Genomic DNA, 21,820 nt, shown 5'->3' on the forward strand with positions numbered 1-21,820 from the left:
GTAGCTTCCCACTGCTGTATAGTTCTAGCTGGTACCTCTGGCTCTGTGCACTGGAAGCCTCCACTAGAACTTTTGCTTCTAAACAGGGTGTTTCTGCTGTGAACAGAGGGCACATAGCAGCTATTCTTATCTGAATTCTGGCATAAATGTTTCAAGCCTTGCACTGAGGATGCGAGGGAGGCTTCTGCTTTGAGAAAGTGAGGTCTCAAGGTGGGGAAATAACCAAGCTTAGGAAAAGTGTTCAAAGATGGTTGGCAGGCAAAAAGAATGCTATAGTTCCATCACACCCAGTAAGTTTGTGGGTCTCAGATAAAAGAAAATCAAGGCAAGTTCAACTGTAGGCTGGAAAAATATTAGAGTTCTTAATGATTGACTTATTCCATGCTATTTGTTTCTTTAAACCTTGTCCTTCAATATATCTGGATTTAAATTTGTCAAACAAAGGTGATAATGTGATATTATTAGTTATTCATATTGTTAACATTTTTCTTATGAATCATAATTGATTGGATGCTGTGATAGTCTTTCTTTTCCACCTATTACCGGGTGCAATGTCACACCTGTTGGCAGTTGGTGGCTTACAGGTACAGTGCCTTGGAGGAAATAGTGACACCCTAATAAAGTGATTCTCAAATTTAGTGAGTCTTAGGTTCACCTGAAAGCCCTATTTAAAATACAGGTAGAAGAGTTAAAATATGACCCAGCAGTTCTGTTCCTAGGTATATACTGCAGAGAATGGAAATATGTCCACACAAAAGCTTGCACAAAAATGTTCATGGCAACATTATTTACAATAGCAAAAAACTGGTAACAACTCAAATGTCCAGCAATTGATGAATGGATAAACAAAATGTAAAATATTCAACTAATGGAATATTATTTATCCATAAAAAGGAATTCTGGTTCATACTACAACATGGACAAACATTGAAAATACTGTGTTAAGTGAAAGAAGCCAAAAACAAAACTCCACATATTGTAAGATTCCATTGATTGAAAATGTCCAGAATAGGTACTGGTTGCCATTGGCCTGAGGGGGTGAGATGGATAAGGAGTGAGGGAGTGACTGCTAATGGATATGAATTTATTTTTGTATTTATGAAATGTTCTGGACTCCGTAGTGATAGTTGCACAACTTTGTGAATATACTAATATTGCTGAATTGTACACTTTAAAAGGATGACTGCTATATCTCAATAAAAAATAAAAATGAAAACAGATTCTTGAATTATTTCCCAAAGAATCTAAATGCATATCTAGGATGAGGGCTGGAAACATGTATTTTTATTTGGATGCAGCTGATCTCTGAACCACGCTTTTAGAAACATTGCATCTAGTCCTTACATGTGTAAATCTCCTAAGCTATGACATTGTAGAAGTAGTCATACAAATCCACAATTCTTCAAAGTTCATGACCTTGCTTTAGAAAATATCCGTAAAAATAGTACAAATTACTATCAGAAGAGTCTTCAGAATAAAGTATATGAAAAAACCCAGCATAGCTTTTTCCCAAATCACTGCTCTAAAATCAATGGGCGTAGTGATTTTTAATCAACATGATATTTACATATTTTTTTGCTTATAACCTGCTTGCACTCTGGAATAAATAAATTGCTACCTCTTAATGTCACTTGATAAGAGTCTAAAATACTTGAATTTGAATATATAAATCCATTAATTTAGCAAAATTTTAACATCAGTCTTATGCATTGGGTTGACATACTAAAGACTGAGTCTCTAGGACTTTGTCATCTAATGCAGAGGTTTTCAACCTTGGCCACCATTGAAGTCAACTGGGAAACATTTTTTTTAAAAAACGAATCCTGGGTTCTACTCCTAGACATCCAAAATTCTATTGATTTGGAGTACAAACAAGACATGGGGACTTTTAACATTTCCTCAAGTCATTCTAATGTGCAACCAAAGTTTGGAATTACTGCTATCAAGAAGAGATTACATAGAGACCCCATACATAGGTCTTATAGCACATTATGACAAGTGGAATGATCGTGGCTGTCAAAAATTACTATGAGAATTCAGAGGAACCATCCCTAACCCAGGGTGGAGCTGGAGACTGCTCCAAGAAGCCATCAGGTATGCCAGTGATACCTGAGCTGAGTATTAAATTAGGGAGAGGAACTGTCCAAGGGAAGATGGGGGTGGGAGTGATCTAGGCAGAGGAAGTAGCCTGTACAAAGGCAAGGAGAGTTGAAAGAGCCTGGATGTTAGCTAGGGGAAAGGACTGGTAAGGAAAATCCCAAAAGGCATGTCACATATTTTATAGCTGGCTACAGCCATTGGAAGTTTCCTCAGAAACCAACTTGAGTTGGCAATGCTGGGACTTTCAGGTCATGACATCTTCTTGCTTTGTTTCATTTGAGGAAAGGCAACAACTCCTTAATACCCCACATAATGGATTCATAGTAGAAAAAGAAAACCTAGCAGTGCTGGGCTCTTCCTGTGAGATTATTAACTGTTGAAAGGGATCCTAGCTTTCATTATTTGTAAACTGTTTCATACATGTCTACCCATATCCATTTCAATGTCACTTTTCCGGAAGTCCCTGAAACCCATGGCTCCAGATAAAGACCCCCTACTGTCCCTAAATTAAGCCACCATTGAAAGCAAGGAGGGTACACGCTAAGGCAACTACTAGGAAGCGCGCTAACAACGACTTTCCCTCAAGAGATGCCTGCTTCTTTCTTATCCCCAAAAGAACTTCAGGGCTTGGGTAGGCACCACATAATTATGTCAACAGACTCTGCTCTAGGTTCCTGACTCTGTATTCTTACTCTCTCCCCAGTCAGATTGCCATACAAATACAGGCGGTTCTCAGGTAGGGTAAATAACCATGTTATTTCCACAGGAATATTTGAGATTGTAGGGAGGTTGCCTTTATCTGGCAGGGTGGAGTCAGTGATGTGATAATATATGTTATCTTTTTTGAGTCTGGGTGGTCACTTCCATCATGTGACTTTAAAGACCTAAAATGAAAGAAGTTTACATCTTAGCAAACATTTAATGCCACAGTGAAAGATAGCATGGGAGCCAAACCCTCTGATGGTTGTTTCTTTTTAGATGTCTTTACTTCTAAAATGAATCTATTTTATAGATTGCACCATAGATTCTGAAATCCTTTCATGAAGAAGTTTGCTCTTTCTTTAGACCACCACCACGATCCCTATAAAACAATTTACAGGGAGATTCAATAGCAGGTCCAAGGTTAGAGAATCATCTTTGTCATACTTTAGGCAGAAGGAGGTTTAGACTCCTGCTCCTCTGCACAAATGAATAGTCCATGGTCTATAAGGTGCTTGCACTTGCACAGGCAGCCTTAGTTTCCATTCTCAGGGATTATCTTTATCCTTGTTTGTTTTCACAAAGTATTTTAAAGCACACACGCACACACACTCTCTCACACACGTACATCTCTAATATTGAAACTTAACCTTAGCATTTCATCTTCATACTCTTACTGATTGTGTTATTTTAAATGTTCTTATTTTGAGCAGATAATGCTGTGAATTATGTGTGTGAGACTGAACAAAGATAATTTCCCTTAGAACTTTTTCTGTACATCTATGACATTTCATTCTTATTACATTTCTAAATAGGTTATTCTTTAAAACAATTTTACTCAGCCTTTGCTCTGCAACCACAAAATATAGCCAATGAATATTTGGCCAGAAGGTCAATAATATAAAGGCATATAAATTTTAAAATGTCGGCTGGGTGTGGTGGCTCACGCCTGTAATCCCAGCACTTTGGGAGGCCGAGGCGGGTGGATCACCTGGGGTCAGGAGTTCACGACCAGCCTAACCAACATGGAGAAACCTCGCCTCTACTAAAAATACAAAATGAACTGGGCATGGTGGCACATGCCTGTAATCCCAGCTACTCAGGAAGGCTGAGGCAGGAGAATCGCTTGAACCCATGATGCAGAGGTTGAGGAGAGCTGAAATCACACCACTGCACTCCAGCCTGGGCGACAGAGTGAGACTCCATCTCAAAAAATATATGTATCTAAAATAAATAAATTTTAAAATGTCTTCCTTCTCCTTCCTACTTTCTCACTCCCTATGTTAACGATACATACTTTCTACACTCTATAACATAGAAAAACACATATATACATGTTATTTTTTTTAAGTTGATTTTTTGTTTGTTTTTACAAAAATGTGATCTTCTCTATGTATTACTTTTCAAATATATGTATCATCTGTTTCCTTTATCAGTTTGTCAGACATACTTACAACATGACTTTAAATGATATAATCGTAAACTAGTGAAATGTCTACCAAGGATTAATTTAATCTAAATATATTTTAATATAAAAATGTCTCATTAAGTTCGAGATCTCACTTTCCATCTTCCCATGCTCTCTGGTCTCCATCTAGCTAGTCCTTTTCAAACATCATTTTTTCCTCCCATCCCTATAGTATCCACACACTACATGTACACACACACATATACACACACACTGGAAGCTCAGGCAGGCAGAATTCATAGTAACATTGAGTGATGACTAACAGCTAGTGGTGTGCTGGTAAATGTTTAACAACCAGCTTTGGTGGAAGGTGGATGATTTATAGTGTTTGCCTATTTCTGTGGTTTAAATGCATCCTTTCGACATGGCCTTTTTTGAGCTACTGATGTTAGATCAACCAGTTCACATTTCCTGAAATTTTAACAACTGGCTTTCACAAATCTAAATGAGCTGGCTTCAGGCTGCCACTGACAGAGGTTATGTTGTCAACAATAGAAGGTGCTATGATTTATATAAAGTATCCTGTTGTTGGTGGAGAAACTCATCTAGGGGACAGCCTCTTTTTCAGGAAATCCAAAAAGTCATCCCAGACCTCTGCCTTGATCCAAAGTTGACAAGAGACTGGAGAATTCAACTTTCTAAGGATCCCATGAGTCCCTTTTAAATACTTTAGGGATCTTTAATGTAGCTCCCAATCTGGCAACTAAGCTTTTGTGAACTTTATGCGCTTGTCTCCATTTTACCAATGTTGAAGCTAAGAGTTTGCCCAGGCATCCTGCAGGAAGTCTTAAAGCCCAGCTCAGAACCTATTGTCCCTGGCCTCTGGAATTCAGAGTTATAGAAAAAAAGGGAACCTGGGAGATCAAGTACCTCCTCAGGTGGTCCTTAGACCCAATGATGTTTGAAGACCCTTTCCTAGTAGGTGACTATTTCTTCCATGGCAGCATAACTATAACTGCCATAAAGACCCTGAGATAGAAGGTGGTACCCAGAAAGTGTGCAACAGAAGGGCTAACATAACATCCAGCCAACTATGAATCTTCCCACACAACTGAATTATGAAGTTAACTGTAAATATCTCACAAGCTCTATTGGCTAAAAAAGTTAAATCAAGGGACAATAAAGGGAAGATTTAAAGAAATTAAAATGTAAACACAGGTTAGTAACTACTGAACTCTGGCATTTTCCTCCGCTACTTTTAATTAGTTGTCTTCATGCTTTTTGCCTAAGAAACAGGAACTTGCCACTGCAACTCCAGGGACAACATTCTGGGCTTGGTAGGTCCCTGCCTTAGACACGTAATCAGAAAACACTGAAAACTGTTTGCCCTTCTCAGAGCGAAGGGCCTTTCACATTGTCCCTTCATACACTGCTGAGGCTCAGGACCATGGCTGCTTTCAGGCTGTGTCCTCTGAAGAAAGCCTTTTCTATTTCTCATCCCTTTTGGGGTTCAATCTGCCCATGGGTCTTAGGAAACAGAGAGATTAGAAACAGTTAACAGCATTGCTTAAAACCTCATTCATTCCTTTCTAAAATATTTACAGGATGCCTATGGCAGGACATAGCAGTAAGCAAAATAGACTAAATCTCTATCCTCAAAGAACTTATGTCCTAGTGGGGTTAAAAAAAAGACAATAAGCAAATAAACTTGTAAATATATGAAATATCAGATGGTTAAATGGCTAAAAAGAAAAAGAAAAACAGACTATGAAAAGGGAGAGGGGTTCTGGGAGAGGGTGTGCAATTCTTTGCCATGATGTGGTCAGGAAGTCCTCACTGGTGAGTGGATGTCAGAGCAGTGATGTTCAGGGAGTCAGGAAGAGAGCTCTAGGAGCAACTGTGGAAGGACGCTCCCTCAGAGGCTCCAGGAAGGACAAAGATCATTCCTTTAGGGGTCCTAGGAAAGATTTCAGGGCACAGGTCTCTGCAGTCTATGATTTCCAAAGGATAACGGATAAAATGGCCCTCAAGCGTGAAGTGCTGTTGCTGCAGGGTTGGAGGCTCTGCCCAAGTCCTCAGGCCCCTGAGGCCCAGTGAGTGACACCTAGCTTCAGGGTTAGACCATGTCTGCCTTGTAGGCTGGATATCTTCTTGTGGTTCCAGGTCTTAAGACAAGGTTTCCAGGGAGAGAAAGAACCAGGGCCCTCTCAACGCTCCTCAAGAAACGCCCCAAATCCACAAAAACACCACATTACTCTCTGATGAAGATAACCCTGCCTATCAGCTCTGCATCGCAAGAGGTCAGCCCAGGCAAACCTGCTACTCCCCAAAAGCATCTCTCATGGGGTTTTATTGATTTGTGCTTCTCCTCTGAGTACTTGCTGACAGCAATAGTGCAGCGACAGTAATCTCATTGTACAGGTGTCTCTCCCACACTTTGTACGGGTCAAGTCTGTCTTTTCAAATCTGTGGGTACAGGTGATGTTGACAGAGCCTGGAGCTGTTTACAACTCGCCTCTTTCCTCTACCATCTGCCCAGGTCTTGGGTCAGAGAGAATCCCTCTGCTTTTGATTGTTGAGTGCCAGGTTGATCTATTTGCCCTTGAGATCATCCAGAAGTCTCCATTATGCCACATGAGTGGGTGTCACATTTTAATAGATTCTTAACATATTCTTCTCTCACCACTGATTTTACTTATTCAATTTCCCACACTGAAGACTATTTTATTAATGAACTACCCTTTCTCCACCTATGAATTAAAGGTGGCTAAACTCTACTAGGCCAGCTTTCCCCTGTGCCAGCCAATAAATTTCTATTTTCAAGCCTTGTTGGAGTTTCTGCCTTATATCTAAAAAACCATTTAACAGGTGGGACTGTTCTCATTGGAAAGAGCTGTCCTCAAAGCTTCATTCCCTCTCTGACCTCCAGAGTCACCCTAGGGTCACCCTGAGAGTCCTTCTTGTAGGCCTCAAAGAGGTCAAAGGATTTTCCTTAGTGCCTCTCTACAATCGTGTTTCAGAAGTGTTATTAAAATTGGTGAAAGGCTTTCTGTTCCAACTGTGCCTACACAAAAGAATCATTATTAATTGGACCTTTAGTTGCCAACTGACCAATTTTTTCTTTGCTGATGGAAATCATGGGCTTTTCCAAAATGTGCAGTCCTCATGTCACCTAGCACAACAGGCCAACCAGAGGCCACATCAGCTGTGTGTGCACCTCCACCCAATAGCAAGGTTTCTAACCATGAAGCACACTCAGGGAAGAAATGAGAGCAAACTAATGAAAGGCCAAAAACTTCTATTACTACTGCTTGCCCTTAGGGAAATATTAGGCCTAAAGGAGCCTATCTTCAAGGACAGGATGAAGGTTAAAAGATGTGCTTCCCTTAAGAAAACAATTAGCAGCTGTGCTAGGGTTTCCTTGAGACACTAACAATAATATCAACAACTTCTTTCTTAGCTGTTAGAAAGGAAAGAAAAAGGATAGTGAGAATAATGTAACCTTTAGTTTTGATTGAGAAAGGTACCGGAATTGCTCAATGTCCCATGAAATCCATTTGAATGGATCCTGTTTAAGCGTGCCAGCTGGAAGCAATATTATTTATAAAAGCAACAGGCAACATTCAGTAAGGAAACAGAACCTGTGAAATAATGTGGAAAAATTTTATTTCTAAACTTCCATTCTTAATGCTTTTCTCACTGGGGGTTTATATAAATTAAACAGATTTTGTTTGAGTATTTCCAAAACTCCCCAAATCTTTCACTGAATGGAGTGCTTTCTGAGCACTTTTTGCATGGAATTTCACAGACCCAAGGATAGAGATACAGCTGGGAAGATTTTGGATATCATTAAATTTAGAAATTGCCTCATAGATCAAGAAGAAGTCAGAATCTCTGTTTAAAAATCCATTGTGATTGCTGGAGCATGGGAGCCCTGTGGGCTGTGTAGGATGTAGGATCACCTCAGCGTGCCTTGCCTTCTCTCCTCAGGCTCCTGAGGGTCACTCTGTCTTAGAAAAGAGAATATTCAGGAAGTCACAGAGCTCCTTAGGAAGTAGCCTATTTTTCACCTCCTGTGCTAAGATAAATGGTGACAAATACTTGAATCCAAACATGGTTGTTTCGAGAGAAGCAATGAAAGGGATTAAAAGTTTTTAATATGGGAGAAGACTAGGTTGGTAGTTGTTCAAGCACACAAACTTCATCTTTAAGATAATCTGGATACCTAAACTGGAATGCCACAATAGCGCTGTCAAACATTTTGACCAGATTTTGATACTCTTAGAAAACAAAAAACTAAGGTATCTTCATCAAGTGTTTTCTTGAAGAGTTTTAAGGAGTATTGACTAAGAATGGATAATCACTTAGAAAAGGTTTGAGAATAGCATTTACTTATTTTCTAATCTATTAAAACACATTAATATAAAAGCACATCATCCACAATGGCATAGAGTAACAGTTCAGAGAAACAGTCTAGAAGCTAACAAGTTGTATTAGTGGTATCTGTCTTAGATCATCAAGAGTACAACTTTTGAAATATGACTTAGAGCTAAAACTCTGAGTAGAAATATCTCCTCATCAGTCATAAATGGTGACTTTCAGGTCAGCAGGAGCCTTAGAGACCATTTTGTTCAAAGTTGATGCAAGACTGGAACCTCTCAGCAGCATCCCAGTACTTCAAGGACAGCCCACTCTGCTCCATCAGGAATTTCTCCAGTTCTTAGAGGTTTATATCCCTCCATTCATGGCATGAGTGGCTGAAGCTGTCTCCTGGACATGACACTTGGGTTTTCCAGAAAGGTCCACACCCCTAGGTGCTTCTGGGAGGTTCCTCCTGACAGGTCTCTAACTGCTCCAAACATATACATTCTTCCTTTTATTTATAGCCAATGATGTACATTTTATATACAATCTATATACATTCACTTTATGGAGGGCCAAAGATTTTTACTAGTTAAATAGAAGATGAATGATTGTAGATTATTAATATTTGAGGCTCATCAACTAAACTTAGCCACATTGTTAAAATTTAAGGAAGAAGATATTCCGTAAGAAGATATTCCATATTTAATGCAATGCTTGGCAGTACTAGCAAGCTACTTCTATGAACATGAACAAGTAGTTGATTTTTGGTTTTTAATTGTTGCATTTTTTGGGTTTAAATTATAAATGAATGTTACTTTAGCTTTATCATTTTTGATTTAATTTGTTGAGATTTATTTGGCCATTTATTGAGGGTCATTAGGTTAAACATTATTTGGATATTTGGTTGATGAGTATTAGCATTAATAGTATAAGCTCAAACTGCAAATTGTTTATTTTTTTCTTCTAAGTTGTCACTGGGTTCTTTTTCAATTGGAAAGGTGGAATGAATCAGAGAGATGGATTAGAACCATAAAAAATGTTCCACATCACTAATATCAGAGAAATGCAAATTAAAACCACAGTGAGATACCATCTCACACGAGTCAGGATGGCTATGGTTAAAAAGTCAAAGAAACAACAGATGCTGGCGAGGCTGCAAAGGAAAAGGAAAACTTATACTCTGTTAGTGAAAATGTAAATTCATTCGGCCTCTGTGGAAAGCAGTTTGGAGATTTCTCAAAGAACTTAAAACAGAGCTACCATTTGACCCAGCAGTGCCGTTATTGGGTATACACATCCAAAAGAAAACCAATCTTTCTACTGAGAAAACATGTAGGTTCATCACAGCACTATTCACAATAGCAAAGACATGGAATCAACCCATCAACAGTGGATTGGATAAAGAAAATGTGCTGGAGGCCATTATCCTAAGTGAATTAATGCAGGAATAGAAAATCAAATACCACATGTTCTCACTTTGAAGTGGAGGCTACTAGATGGGAGAGGGAGGGAGGGGGGCAAGGGCTGAAAAACTATTGGGTACTATGCTCAGTGATGGGATCATTCATATCCCAAACCTCAGCATCACGTAATATACCCAGGTAACAAACCTGCACATGTACCCCCTCAAGCTAAAATAAAAGTTGAAAAAAATAATAATAAAATAAAATATTTGTTAAAAAGAAAGAAATCATTTTACTGGAGAACAAGAATAAAGACCATCTCTCAAGCTTCTCCATCTCCAATGTTCTGACCATGCCTTGGTGATAAGTTTAATAGAGTAATTTTTTAAAAGAGGAACAATGTTTTCATCAGTGTGCTTTTCTCCAGATATTTTGAAATCAAATAGTAAAACTTGTGTGTATATTTATTTTTAAAATATGACAAATGAAGATAATATGGAAATGCTGAATGGATCATGATTTGTGTAGTGGATGAATTATGTCACCTACAGAGGCCTGCGTTCCCAAATGTGGTGGAAGTGAGACATTTGTAGGGCTGTCTGGGCCAGCTCTACAGAATAAAAAAATTACACAAAGTAGGGAAAATTCCCAAAAAGCCGAACCTTTTTCAGAGAAGTCAATTTGTCCTTCATTGATCTGAGGAAGAGTAAAGGGAGTAAAGGCTTCTCAGTAGGCACCAAGTACCCATTTGGTCTGTCAAGATATTAGATCTTGGTAGCAAACTTCAAAGGGCAGTTTCTAGTGCTTTTTTCCAGCATTTGCTTTTCTTGGGCCACACAAAATATCCACCGTGTCCTTCGGGAATAAAGCCTGAAAGAAAAAGAACAGATCCCAGTTGTTTAGAAAATTAGCTTATTTTTATTATTCTAATGGTGAATGATTAGCCTTGGAAATGTCTGATTTTAAAGATCTTGTAATTTATACTGGCATGGTTTATGGTGTCTTTAAATACGGAACCAATCTGTTCTTAAATATTTAATTAGTGTAAAAGAATTGGGCGTGGTCTGCGGAAGAACGCCTTGTGCTGTCTATTGTCATTAATTCAGCAGTTCTCCCCTGCCCAGAGACAGCTGTACAATGTGCAAGGGCTGTCCTGAAATAACTGGACCAACATATAAATGTCAAAACAATAAACTAATGCTTCCCTTCAACTTGATCATTTGGTCAAATGCTAACTTCCAACTCCTCCGGCGCAGTCTCACCAGTACCTAGACAGAAAAATGAGAGGCATATACCTCAACTCTACCCATGTAAAATCCTTCACCAAGGTCAGCAATTTCCTACCCATTATTTGCTAAGAATTTTTTTTTCCTTTGAGACTGAGGCTCACTCTTGTTGCCCAGACTGGAGTGCAGTGGCGCGATCTCTGCTCACTGCAACCTCTGCCTCCCAGGTTCAAGCGATTCTCCTGCCTCAGCCTCCTGAGTAGCTGGGATTACAGGCACCTGCCACCATGCCCGGCTAATTTTCATATTTTTAGTAGAGACAGGGTTTCACCATGTTGGCCAGGCTGGTCTCAAACTCCTGACCGCAGGTGGTCTGCCCACCTCGGCTTCCCAAAGTGCTGAGATTATAGGCATGAGCCACCACGCCTGGCAATTTGCTAAGAATTTGAAGACTTGACTCCACGATTCATTTTTCAGTCTTCACCCAATCATTTCAAGAAATTTAAAGCATCCTTCAAGTTCTATATATGTGGTCTCGAGAAAAGGTTAAGCTTCTCCTGAGTAATTAGAAACCCTAGGGAAAAATGCATCACACCTTTAGAGTCATCTGGTAGACTACTAACAAAAAGACAAAAGAGGTTCATTAGAAGTAGTATGATCTTTGTTTGCCAATTACTGTTTTCCTGTTCATTTAATAAATACTTAGTCATCATCTGTTATGAGCCAGGCTCTGTGCACACATAGTGACAAACAACATGAAGATGATTGCCTGTGTCTCTTCTGGTACTTTCAGACCAGTGGAGGACATCATTAAATTAACAGACATTTGTAAGGCAGAGTGTAGCATGCTAAGACAGGGTAAATATGCATCTTTGTGACAACATCTGGGAATAGCCCCTAATTGAGCCTGAGAGTAGGTGGGGAGGTCTCTCAGAAGAAATGAAATGTAAGTGGAAATATGAAGTGTCCATAGGAATAGAGGTGAGAACATCAAGGAGAAGGGTATTATATTTAGTCCCTTGAAAAGGAATAAGGGCATTTCTTGGAACAGAAAGTTGTCCAGAAATAAGGGTAAGGAGGTAGGCATTGCCAAGAGCAGTTGGTAGCCATCAGGTGATTTTAGATATAGTCAGATTTATATTATAGAAACAGACTGGGAGCAATGTGGAGAGAGGATTGGAGAGCATGGGCCAAGGTTAGCTACTGCAGCAAACCTGGTTGGGGGCAGATATTGGCTCTCCTTTGGAAAGAGGTAATGAGGATAGACACGGAAGCCATAATGGGTGGGATGGTGAGAGATGGGAGATGTCTAGAGGGAGAACCCGGTATGCTGCTCCAAGAGCTTGGGCCAGAGAGTGGAAGGTGGCAGCAGTCATGGAGAGGGGGGAGTCTGTTGAGGAGCAGGCTGGGGAGTAGGCTGAATTTGATTTTGAACACACTGCCTTTTGGAATATCTAAGTACATGTGGTGGTCAAGAGTAAGTTGAAAATGCAGATCTGAAAAAGAAATTGCAAACAGGATTGGAAACTGTTTTAAATACAAGTCAAGGAAACAAATGGGAAATTTAGATCCTCTTTTATATGTTTTCCTAGAATTGTTTTTTGGTAATTATAAACATCCTTTGGAATCTTCAAAGGGGAAAATATCATCTCCCACCTTTGTCTTTCAAATATCTATGACAGCACTATAATTTCTAATGAGCTTGTTTATTTTTAACATTATTCCTGGGAATCAAAGAGAAAAGAATAGCAGGGAATAAAAGAAATTGCTATAGGAGGAGCTAGGTGAAGAACACCTACACCATGAAATATAGTTTTAATATACAAAAAATGAAATAGTTCCAATCTCATAAAATATTTGCAAAGAAAATTAGATGCATGAAGAAGTACAACATCTTAGTGGGCTTTTATTGGTCTATTTTTTTAAAGGTTACTTAATTCTCAGTTTACTAATTTCCAGAATTAGTGTTTTTGTGTCTTTGTTGATTTTTATGGAGTCAATTAAATACAGCTCAAGGACGTGGCAGTATCTTTCCCCAACTGTAGCCCCCACAACTGTTACTAATAACAACACAAACACAGACAAAGGATCTTTAACAAATGAGAATAACATACCGGTGGCTTGAGTAGAGTCATGAAGGAAAAAATGTACTCTATTTTTTAGTAAATTATCCATTTTCCCAAAAATTTGCATTGTGAAATGGAATGAAAAATAAAACATGAACTCATATTTAGTACCTACTTTATATTCATTCTAAATTTATTTTCTAAGACTTAGAACTGTTTTTAAAACAGTCTACATTGTCAGGTCATGATACACCTTATATAGCAAAGGGGGAAAAACAGTGCAAGGCTCACATGCAAAAAATACACAGATGCCTTTCGCAGTCTCAAAAAAAAAATCAAGGATTCCTGTAGCACGTGTGTGTCTTTTTCTGGTTGATTTTTAGTCAAGAGTTTGGTAGATACATTCTTGCCCTGACCAGGCTTCTAAGATCAGTGGTTTCCATTTATTTTTGTAGAGACTGAAGAAAAGGAATGACTACCTTGTGTGTTAGTCTGTGAGGGCTGCCATAACAACATGCCACAGACTGGGTGACTTAAACAATGGAAATGTATTTGCTTATCATTATGCAAGCTGGAAGTCCATGATCAAGCTTCCAGGAGCTTTGGCCTCTCTCCTTGGCTTGCAGGCTTCTTGCTGCGTCCTTATATGATCTTCCCTGTGTACATGGGCATGTCTAGTGCCTAAATTTCCTCTTCTTACAAGGACACCAGTCAGACTGGGTTAGGGCCCACTCTAAAGATCTCATTTTAACTTAAATATTTCTTTAAAGACTTTATGTCCAAATATGGTTACATTCTGAGGTACAGAGGGATAGGACATCAATATGTGAATTTGTGAGGTGGGGGACACAATTTGGCCCACAACATTCTCTTGCCTCAAGTTAGCATGCAGGAGATCAAGAACAATGCTAAAGGTTTTTGAGAAAAAAAAAAAAACAGGAAAGTTTCCTTCTACCCCTGTGACTTTATAATCTACAAATGAACTAAAAAACGAATAAAACTACTCTTCTTTATGAAAAAGTAAAAATTTAAATTTATCTAAACACAGAATGTTAAACCACATCTTAAGGACATATTTTGGCAACCTATGGAAATCCTAACTGAGTATCTGTTAATGCTCTGTTTTCAGCAAACTCACCTAGCAAGCTTAGTTAGAAAAGAGGCAAACCTCCAGGGCTGGCGAGTTATTTATGGTTAATTCTGAGGGATGACACTTCTAAATTTGTACAAGCTGCAGCTCAGCTCATGTTTTCTGTAAATAAGTACTGGAGACATTCTAATTCCAGTTGAGTTAGGAGGTTAAGCCCTAAAAACAAATTTTTCTCCTTAAAAACTGTGTCTTCTATCTTGAAGATTTTGTATTCTTATCCTATTAAAAATCAAGAAAAGCTATATTTTTTAAGTTCATAAGATTTTGGCATTAATTGTAGTAAAAATTAAACATTTAAAATCAAGTCTGTAATCATCAGAAGAATAAATTGTGCTTTAAAATCTTCAAAATCTTCAAAAGTGTGTGTGTGTGCGTGTGTATATGTGTGCGTGTGTGTGTGTGCATCTGTGTGTGTGCATGCACATCTCCAGTCATTGAATTAACAACCCATGTTGCATATTGGGCATTTTTATAGTCTGAGCTTTCTCACATTACTTTCTTCCCAACAAAATTCAATGCCTATATTGTGTGTGTGTGTTTTTTAAGTAGTTCTTATTAGAAAATAATCACATAATGCCGATAAGGAAACAACTTATGGAGGTATTAATCACTGGTTATGACATACTTATTTAAAGTCTTGGAAATAAACAAAATGAATACATAAAGGTAATCTCTAATGATAGAAATTCAACTATTATAGCATATTCAAATTCATTAATATAAACATAATTAAAAATACACTTGAAAGTATACATACACACATATGTACACACATACTCCTGATTAACATATGATCTTTAAATATTACAATTCACATTATGAAAACTTAGAAAAAGTACATAATAAGAATATTATGTCAAAAAATCTTGTGAAATAAAATTTAATTTGATACAAGGAAAATCAAAACATTAATTGCAAGTTTTTTAAAACTGTAAATAAGTTAAATTGCTAATTTAAAAATGCAAGATAAAAATAGCATAGTAAATTCAAATAAATAGAAGGAATTAAATAATTAAAGGAATAGAAAAAAATATGAACCCTGGCAAATCAATTTTTAAAAAAGAAAAAGAAAAAGAACAACCCAGTAGAAAAATAACCAAAGTTATGAGAAAGCAAAAGTTACAAATAAAACTGAATAGCTAGTAAATACATGAAAATATCTTTAATCTCACCAGTATTCAGGAAAGCAGAAATTAGTACAGTGAGGTACAATTTCACACTCATCTGATTGGATAAAATAGAAGAGGCTTCAATACTAGAGAAGAAGTGAAAAATAGGAAGTCTTGCAAAATGCTGGTAAGAGTTTACACTGGCGGAATCACTCTAGAGCCATGAGGCAAACTCGGATTCGGATGAAAATGCATGTGTCCTCTATCTGTGCAATCCCACTTCTGTGTATGTAACCTGAAGAAACTCCTGCACCAGAAGAATCGCTGCAAAATGATCTAGACAGTATAATCGCATTAATGTGAAAATTTTTAAAGATATATGATAAGGGCATAAAACACGCCTGTGATAAAGGCATATGTAAAAGAATCAGTGGAAAAAAATAGAGTAACAACTTTTTTCAAAAACACAGAAAAAATTACAAAATTCAGAATAGTGATTGCCTCTGGGGGGAATAAAAGGGAAAACAGAACTGGGGATTAGAACAAAGTAGATATCAAACTTAGTAAATAAATATGACACACACACATGCATACATGTATATTTAATATATAAGTTACCAATAAGAGCTGAACCAAATCACCAAAACCCAAACTATATATTTATATCTTGTTCATGTTCACATCTAGCTAAAAACCAAACAAAATAAAAATTCCCTGGAGCATGGGCATCTTTAAATTATGTTACATGTGTCAGCAAGTCCTGTCTACTGTGGGTTATCTTGGGGCTTCAATCTCCTAAATATTGAAACTGTAGCCAGAATAGCTAACCTTTTCAAGCAATTATAATATTCTCCTCTAAGCCAAAGAAAGGAGTTATTCTGCAGGCTGATAGAATTTGAGGGAAAAATTTAATCGTGGCCACATTAAAAGGCTTAGCCCTCTTGTAAAAGATGATCTTATTCTTAGGTTATTGTCTGTGTAGCTCTTATTCAGAAAATATAGATTGGAGCAAAACTCAAGTGTTAACATTCTTATAACTCCTTCTTTCTCATTTCGCAGTCCTGCCTTGTTCTTTTTCACTAATGGGTTGATAATAGATAATCAGCTAATTAATTCTCCTATGGCATATAATTTATACCTCTACTCTATCATTTTTATTGTTTGAATTATTTTATTAAAATTGCATCTTGTCAGAATTATTTTACATGTTCATCACTTTCAAAATTATTTAGGCTTTTAATTCACTGTCCTATTGTCCAATGGTGGGCACATGCAGAGCTCACTAAATAAATACTGATTTGAACTTCTTTGAATGATCTCTTCTGGTCTCTGTTTATATTACATTATAAATATAAAATAGTAAACTCCTTGAGAGCAAGGACATTATGTTCCATGTATCCTCCTTATACTACATGCCATCATACATATAGCAATTGCTTCATATTATTTGAATGGTTGTTTAGGTAGAAGGATAATATTTTTGTTTGTTTTCTTTACCAAAGCAAAGCTGTATTTCTGTTAATATTCAGGGGGTACCTGTGGTTGAAAGCTAGTATTTCTTTGCAGATGACCTGTTTGTGCTCCTAGAATTAATAAACCTATGAATAGAAAACCTATATTTTCTAGATTTGCAAGATCAGATCACTGCAGTTAGCAATAAGTGTTACAGTAAGCTGTATAAAAAACAATTCAGTTAAATTTTCTGTCTCAGAAAATGTCTCAATTTTTAATCAAGACAGAGAACTTGAAAATTTCTCTTCTATCATACACCAGAAAACGTACACAATGTTTACCATGCATCCACAATTAAGTGACAATTAGAGATCAGCTTAAGAAAATGGAAATCATAATGATGAAAGGTAAGAGAATATGCCATCCCAAAATATGCCACTTTGACATAAGAATTATTTTGAGCTGAGGGCAATTGAGCTACAAAAAAGCCTCTCTTCCCTCTTCCTATTTGTCTAAAAGCAGGACATAAATTGGTAAAGGTGTTCTTACTCCCCTCTCTGCCCAAATAACAGAAGTTAATCACCAGAGATGTACCTAGACCCTTATCAGCCCAGAGATGGCACTAGAGGAATCTACAAAACAGATTACTGACCAGCCCATATCTTTCATTAGTTCCCCCATATATTAACCTTCCCACAATTTGTTGCCCTAGAAACTCAAAGTCCTTTCCCTTTGTCTCATCACTTGTCTAAAAAATGTATTGTTCTTTTGTTAAACTATACAAGCTGAAATTCTAACCACTCCTTTGAGTTACTCATCAACTGAATACTCCCATGCACGGTGTACAGATGGACATGTAAATAAACTTCTGCTTTTCTCGTTAATCTGTCTCTTGTCAGTCTAATTTATAGGGCCCCAACCAATGAACCTAAGATGAGTGGAGGAAAAATAACAAAAGCAAAACTTTAATATCAATTATAGTGCTTAGACAAACTTTAGAAGACATACAAATGTGTTTTATAGTATTACATGCGATATTCATAGTATCTTTGCAGGCAAGAATTTCAAGTTGAAAAATAAGCCAAAATTCTCACCAGCAGAATTTTTTAAAGGGAGCAACTGTTGCGTGCAAACACTAATCTCCCGGGCGCAGTCAAACAATACCTTCCCCAAGGGTCAGCTGCTAATTGTTAAACTCTCTAGCGAATAGTAAAACAGCTGTGTCTTGAATCTGCAAAAACATTATCATCTAATGAGTGAAGAATATGTGATTGTGCAATAATAAAAAGGGCCCAGTGTGTTGTTAAGTGTGCCAGTAGCACAAATGGGCCAGTGTGTATATATATACATATTTTTTTCTTTTACAAAGCAGAGAAAAGCAGATTTTTAAGTTATTAGTAAACTTGACATGAAAATATTAAAATGAAATGGTTCCAAAACATTTTCTTTCTCTTCAGCCAGTCTATCAACTGTCTCAGAAAGCATATGCAACTTGAGAAAAGAAATAAAAGTAATGATCATGTCTTTAAATCCTATTTAAGCTAAAAGGCAGGATGAAAAGAAAATTATTTAAACTAAAGTTCTTTCTATGTGGTTCTATGGTATGTGTTAGGTATTGATAAACTGCATCAAATTTTACAGGAAATTTACATTCTCAAATAAATGTTATATTTATTGAAATTAAAATATTAAGGATAAAATTGGTTCAGTTTACACATCAGGAAACACTCCATATGGTTCAGCAGTCAGCACAAAATCTGAAAGATTTCCCAAATTCACTCTGATATTTTTCACTTTTCTCAGCATGTTCCTTTTGCCCAGTTTCTAAATTCCTAATCAACTTTCACAGTCTTCTCTGAGGATGCACACAGTGTTTTCTTCCTTTGCATGCTGGATGTCTCTTTTGGCCCTCCTCAAATGGCACTTTGGTTTAATGGTGATTCTGGAAATATCTCTCTCCCTCTATTAGAATGTGCGTAGGTTTGTTTTCACACTACTGTAAAGACATACTCATCACTGGGTAATTTATAAAGGAAAGAGGTTTAATTGACTCACAGTTCTGCATGGCTGGGGAGGCCTCAGGAAACTTAGAATCATGGTGGAAGGGGAAGCAAGCATGTCTTTCATGGTGGCAGGCAAGAGAGAAAGTGTGTGTGAAGTGAAGAGGGAAGAGTCCCTTATAAAACCATCAGATCTTGTGAGAACTCACTCACTATCACAAGAATAGCATGGGAGAAACCGCCCCCATGATCAAATCACCTCCCACCAGGTCTCTTCCTCAACACCTGGGGATTACAATTCAAGATGAGATTTCGGTGGAGAGACAAAGCCTAACCATATCATTCCAATCCTAGCCCCTCCCAAATTTCATGTCCTCACATTTCAAAACCAATCATGCCTTCCCAACAGTCCCTCAAAGTCTTAACTAATTTCAGCACTAAGTCAAAAGTCCAAGTCTCAAGTTTCACCTTAAATAAGGCAAGTCCCTTATGCCTAAGAACCTGTAAAATCAAAAGCAAGTTAGTTACTTCCAAGATACAATAGGGCTACAGGCATTGGATAAATGCTCCCATTCCAAATGGGAGAAATTGGCCAGAATGAAGAGGTTACATGCCCCATGCAAGTCCAAAATCCAGCAGGGCAGTCAAATCTTAAAGCTCCAAAATGATCTTCTTTGACTCCATGTCTCACATCCACGCCACACTGATACAAGAGGTGGGCTCCCATGGCATTGGGCAGCTCCACCCCTGTGGCTTTGCAGGGTACAGCTTCCCTGCCCCAGCTGCTTTCATAGGCTGGCCTTGAGTGTCTGTAGCTTTTCCAGGTGCATGGTGCAAGCTGTCAGTGGATCTAGTGTTCTGGGGTCTGGTGGCCCTCTTCTCACAGCTCCACTAGGCAGTGCCCCAGTGGGGACTCTGTATGGGGGCTCCAATCCCACATTTCCCCTTTGCACTGCCCTAGCAGAGATTCTCCACAAGGACTTCACCCCTGAAACAGACTTCTGCCTGGACATCCAGGCATTTTCATACCTCCTCTGAAATCTAAGCAGAAGTTCCCAAACCTTAATTTTTGACTGCTGTGCACCTGCAGGCTCAACACCATGTGTAAGCCACCAAGGCTTGGGGATAGGACCCACTGAAGCAATGGCCTTAGCTGTATGTTGGCCCCTTTTAGCTACTTTTGGGATGCAGGGCACCAAGTCCCAAGGCTGCATAGAGCAGCAGAGGGCCCCTGGACCAGGCCCACAAAACCAGTTTTCCCTCCTAGGCCTTGGGTCTGTGATGGCAGGGGCTGCTATGAAGGTCTCTGACATGCCCTGGAGACATTTTCCCCATTGCCTTGGTAATTAACATTTGGCTTCTTGTTACTTATGCAACTTTCTGCAACTTATTAAATTCCTCCTCAGAAAGTGGGCTTTTCTTTTCTACTATATGGTCATGCTGCAAATATTCTAAACCTTTATACTCTGCTTTCCTTTTAAACATAAGTTCCAATTTCAGATCATCTCTCTCAAGTTGAAAGTTCCACAGATCTCTAGGACAGGGGTAAAATGCCACCAGTCTCTTTGCTAAGCATAACAAGAGTACATTTGTTTCATTTCCCATTGCCTCTACATTTTTGGGTATCTTTATCATAGTACACTACTCTCTGAGATACCAAATTACTGTATTAGTCCTTTTTCACACTGCTATAAACACATACACAAGACTGGATAACTTATAAAGAAAACAGGTTTAATTGACTCACAGTTCTACATGGCTGGGGAGGCCTCAGGAAACTTACAATCATGGTGGAAGAGGAAGCAGGCACATCTTATATAGTGGCAGGTGAGAGAGAAGTGCAAGCAGGGTAAATGCCAGATGTTTGTAAAACCATCAGATGTTGTGAGAACTCACTCACTATCATAAGAATAGCATGGAGGAAACGACTCCCATGATCCAGTCACCTCCCACTAGGTCTCTCCCTCAACACCTGGGGATTATGATTCAATATGAGATTTAGTGGGGACAAAAAGCCTAACCATATCAGAATGTAAACACTTTGTGCACAGGGATTACACTTCACTATGGCCAAGAGCCACCTGGAAATTGGCACCATTTGTCTCCAAACAAATCTTCATTATTTTGTACTGATGAATAAGAATTAGACCAGATTCTGGCTAATTCAGTGGCTCACACCTGTAATCCCAGCACTTTGGGAGGTCGAAGTGGGCAGATCATGAGGTCGGGAGATGGAGACCATCCTGGCCAACATGGTGAAACCTCATCTCTAGTAAAATACAAAAAATTAGCCAGGCATGGTGGTGCACGCCTGTAGTCCCAGCTACTCAGGAGGCTGAGGCAAGGGAATTGCTTGAACCCAGGAGGCGGAGGTTGCAGTGAGCTGAGATTGCACCACTGCACTCCAGCACTCCAGCCTGGTGATAGAGCAAGACTCCATCTCAAAAAAAGAAAAGAATTAGGCCAGATTCCATAACATAGATTCTGAAATGTGAACTCTCTATTAAGTATTGGTTATGCAAAGAGACGTTATCTACCCAATTCTCAACCCCGCATGGGTAAGCAATCCTGTTCAGTCTTCTTTCATCTCCCTGACTCCTACAATGCCTTCAAACTTTGCCTCACTTTGTAGCCTCTGGGAAAGCAAGAAGCCTAGTTTCTACAGCACCTAGCACAATGTCACATATAGTTGGCGTGAGTATTAATAAGGACATAACAAGAATAATGTATTTTTGTTTCACTTAGAGAAAATTATAGTCATGGTCACTTAAAGAGTTCTAAATTGTTCAACTGAAAATGGAAAGATGTTATTAAAGACTTTTAATTGGTGATACTGAGAAAA

At 38.3% G+C, this 21,820-nt stretch overlaps 1 protein-coding gene across 12 annotated transcripts in view; it reads left to right on the top strand.

Moving 5' to 3' along the window:
* The window catches only part of CCDC192 (coiled-coil domain containing 192), a 239,292-nt gene that overhangs the window by 114,358 nt on the left and 103,114 nt on the right, over positions 1–21,820 (top strand). The window lies entirely within an intron of this gene.

The sequence above is a fragment of the Homo sapiens genome, chromosome 5 (genome assembly GCF_000001405.40).
Source record: "Homo sapiens chromosome 5, GRCh38.p14 Primary Assembly".
Classification (NCBI taxonomy): Eukaryota; Metazoa; Chordata; class Mammalia; order Primates; family Hominidae; genus Homo; species Homo sapiens.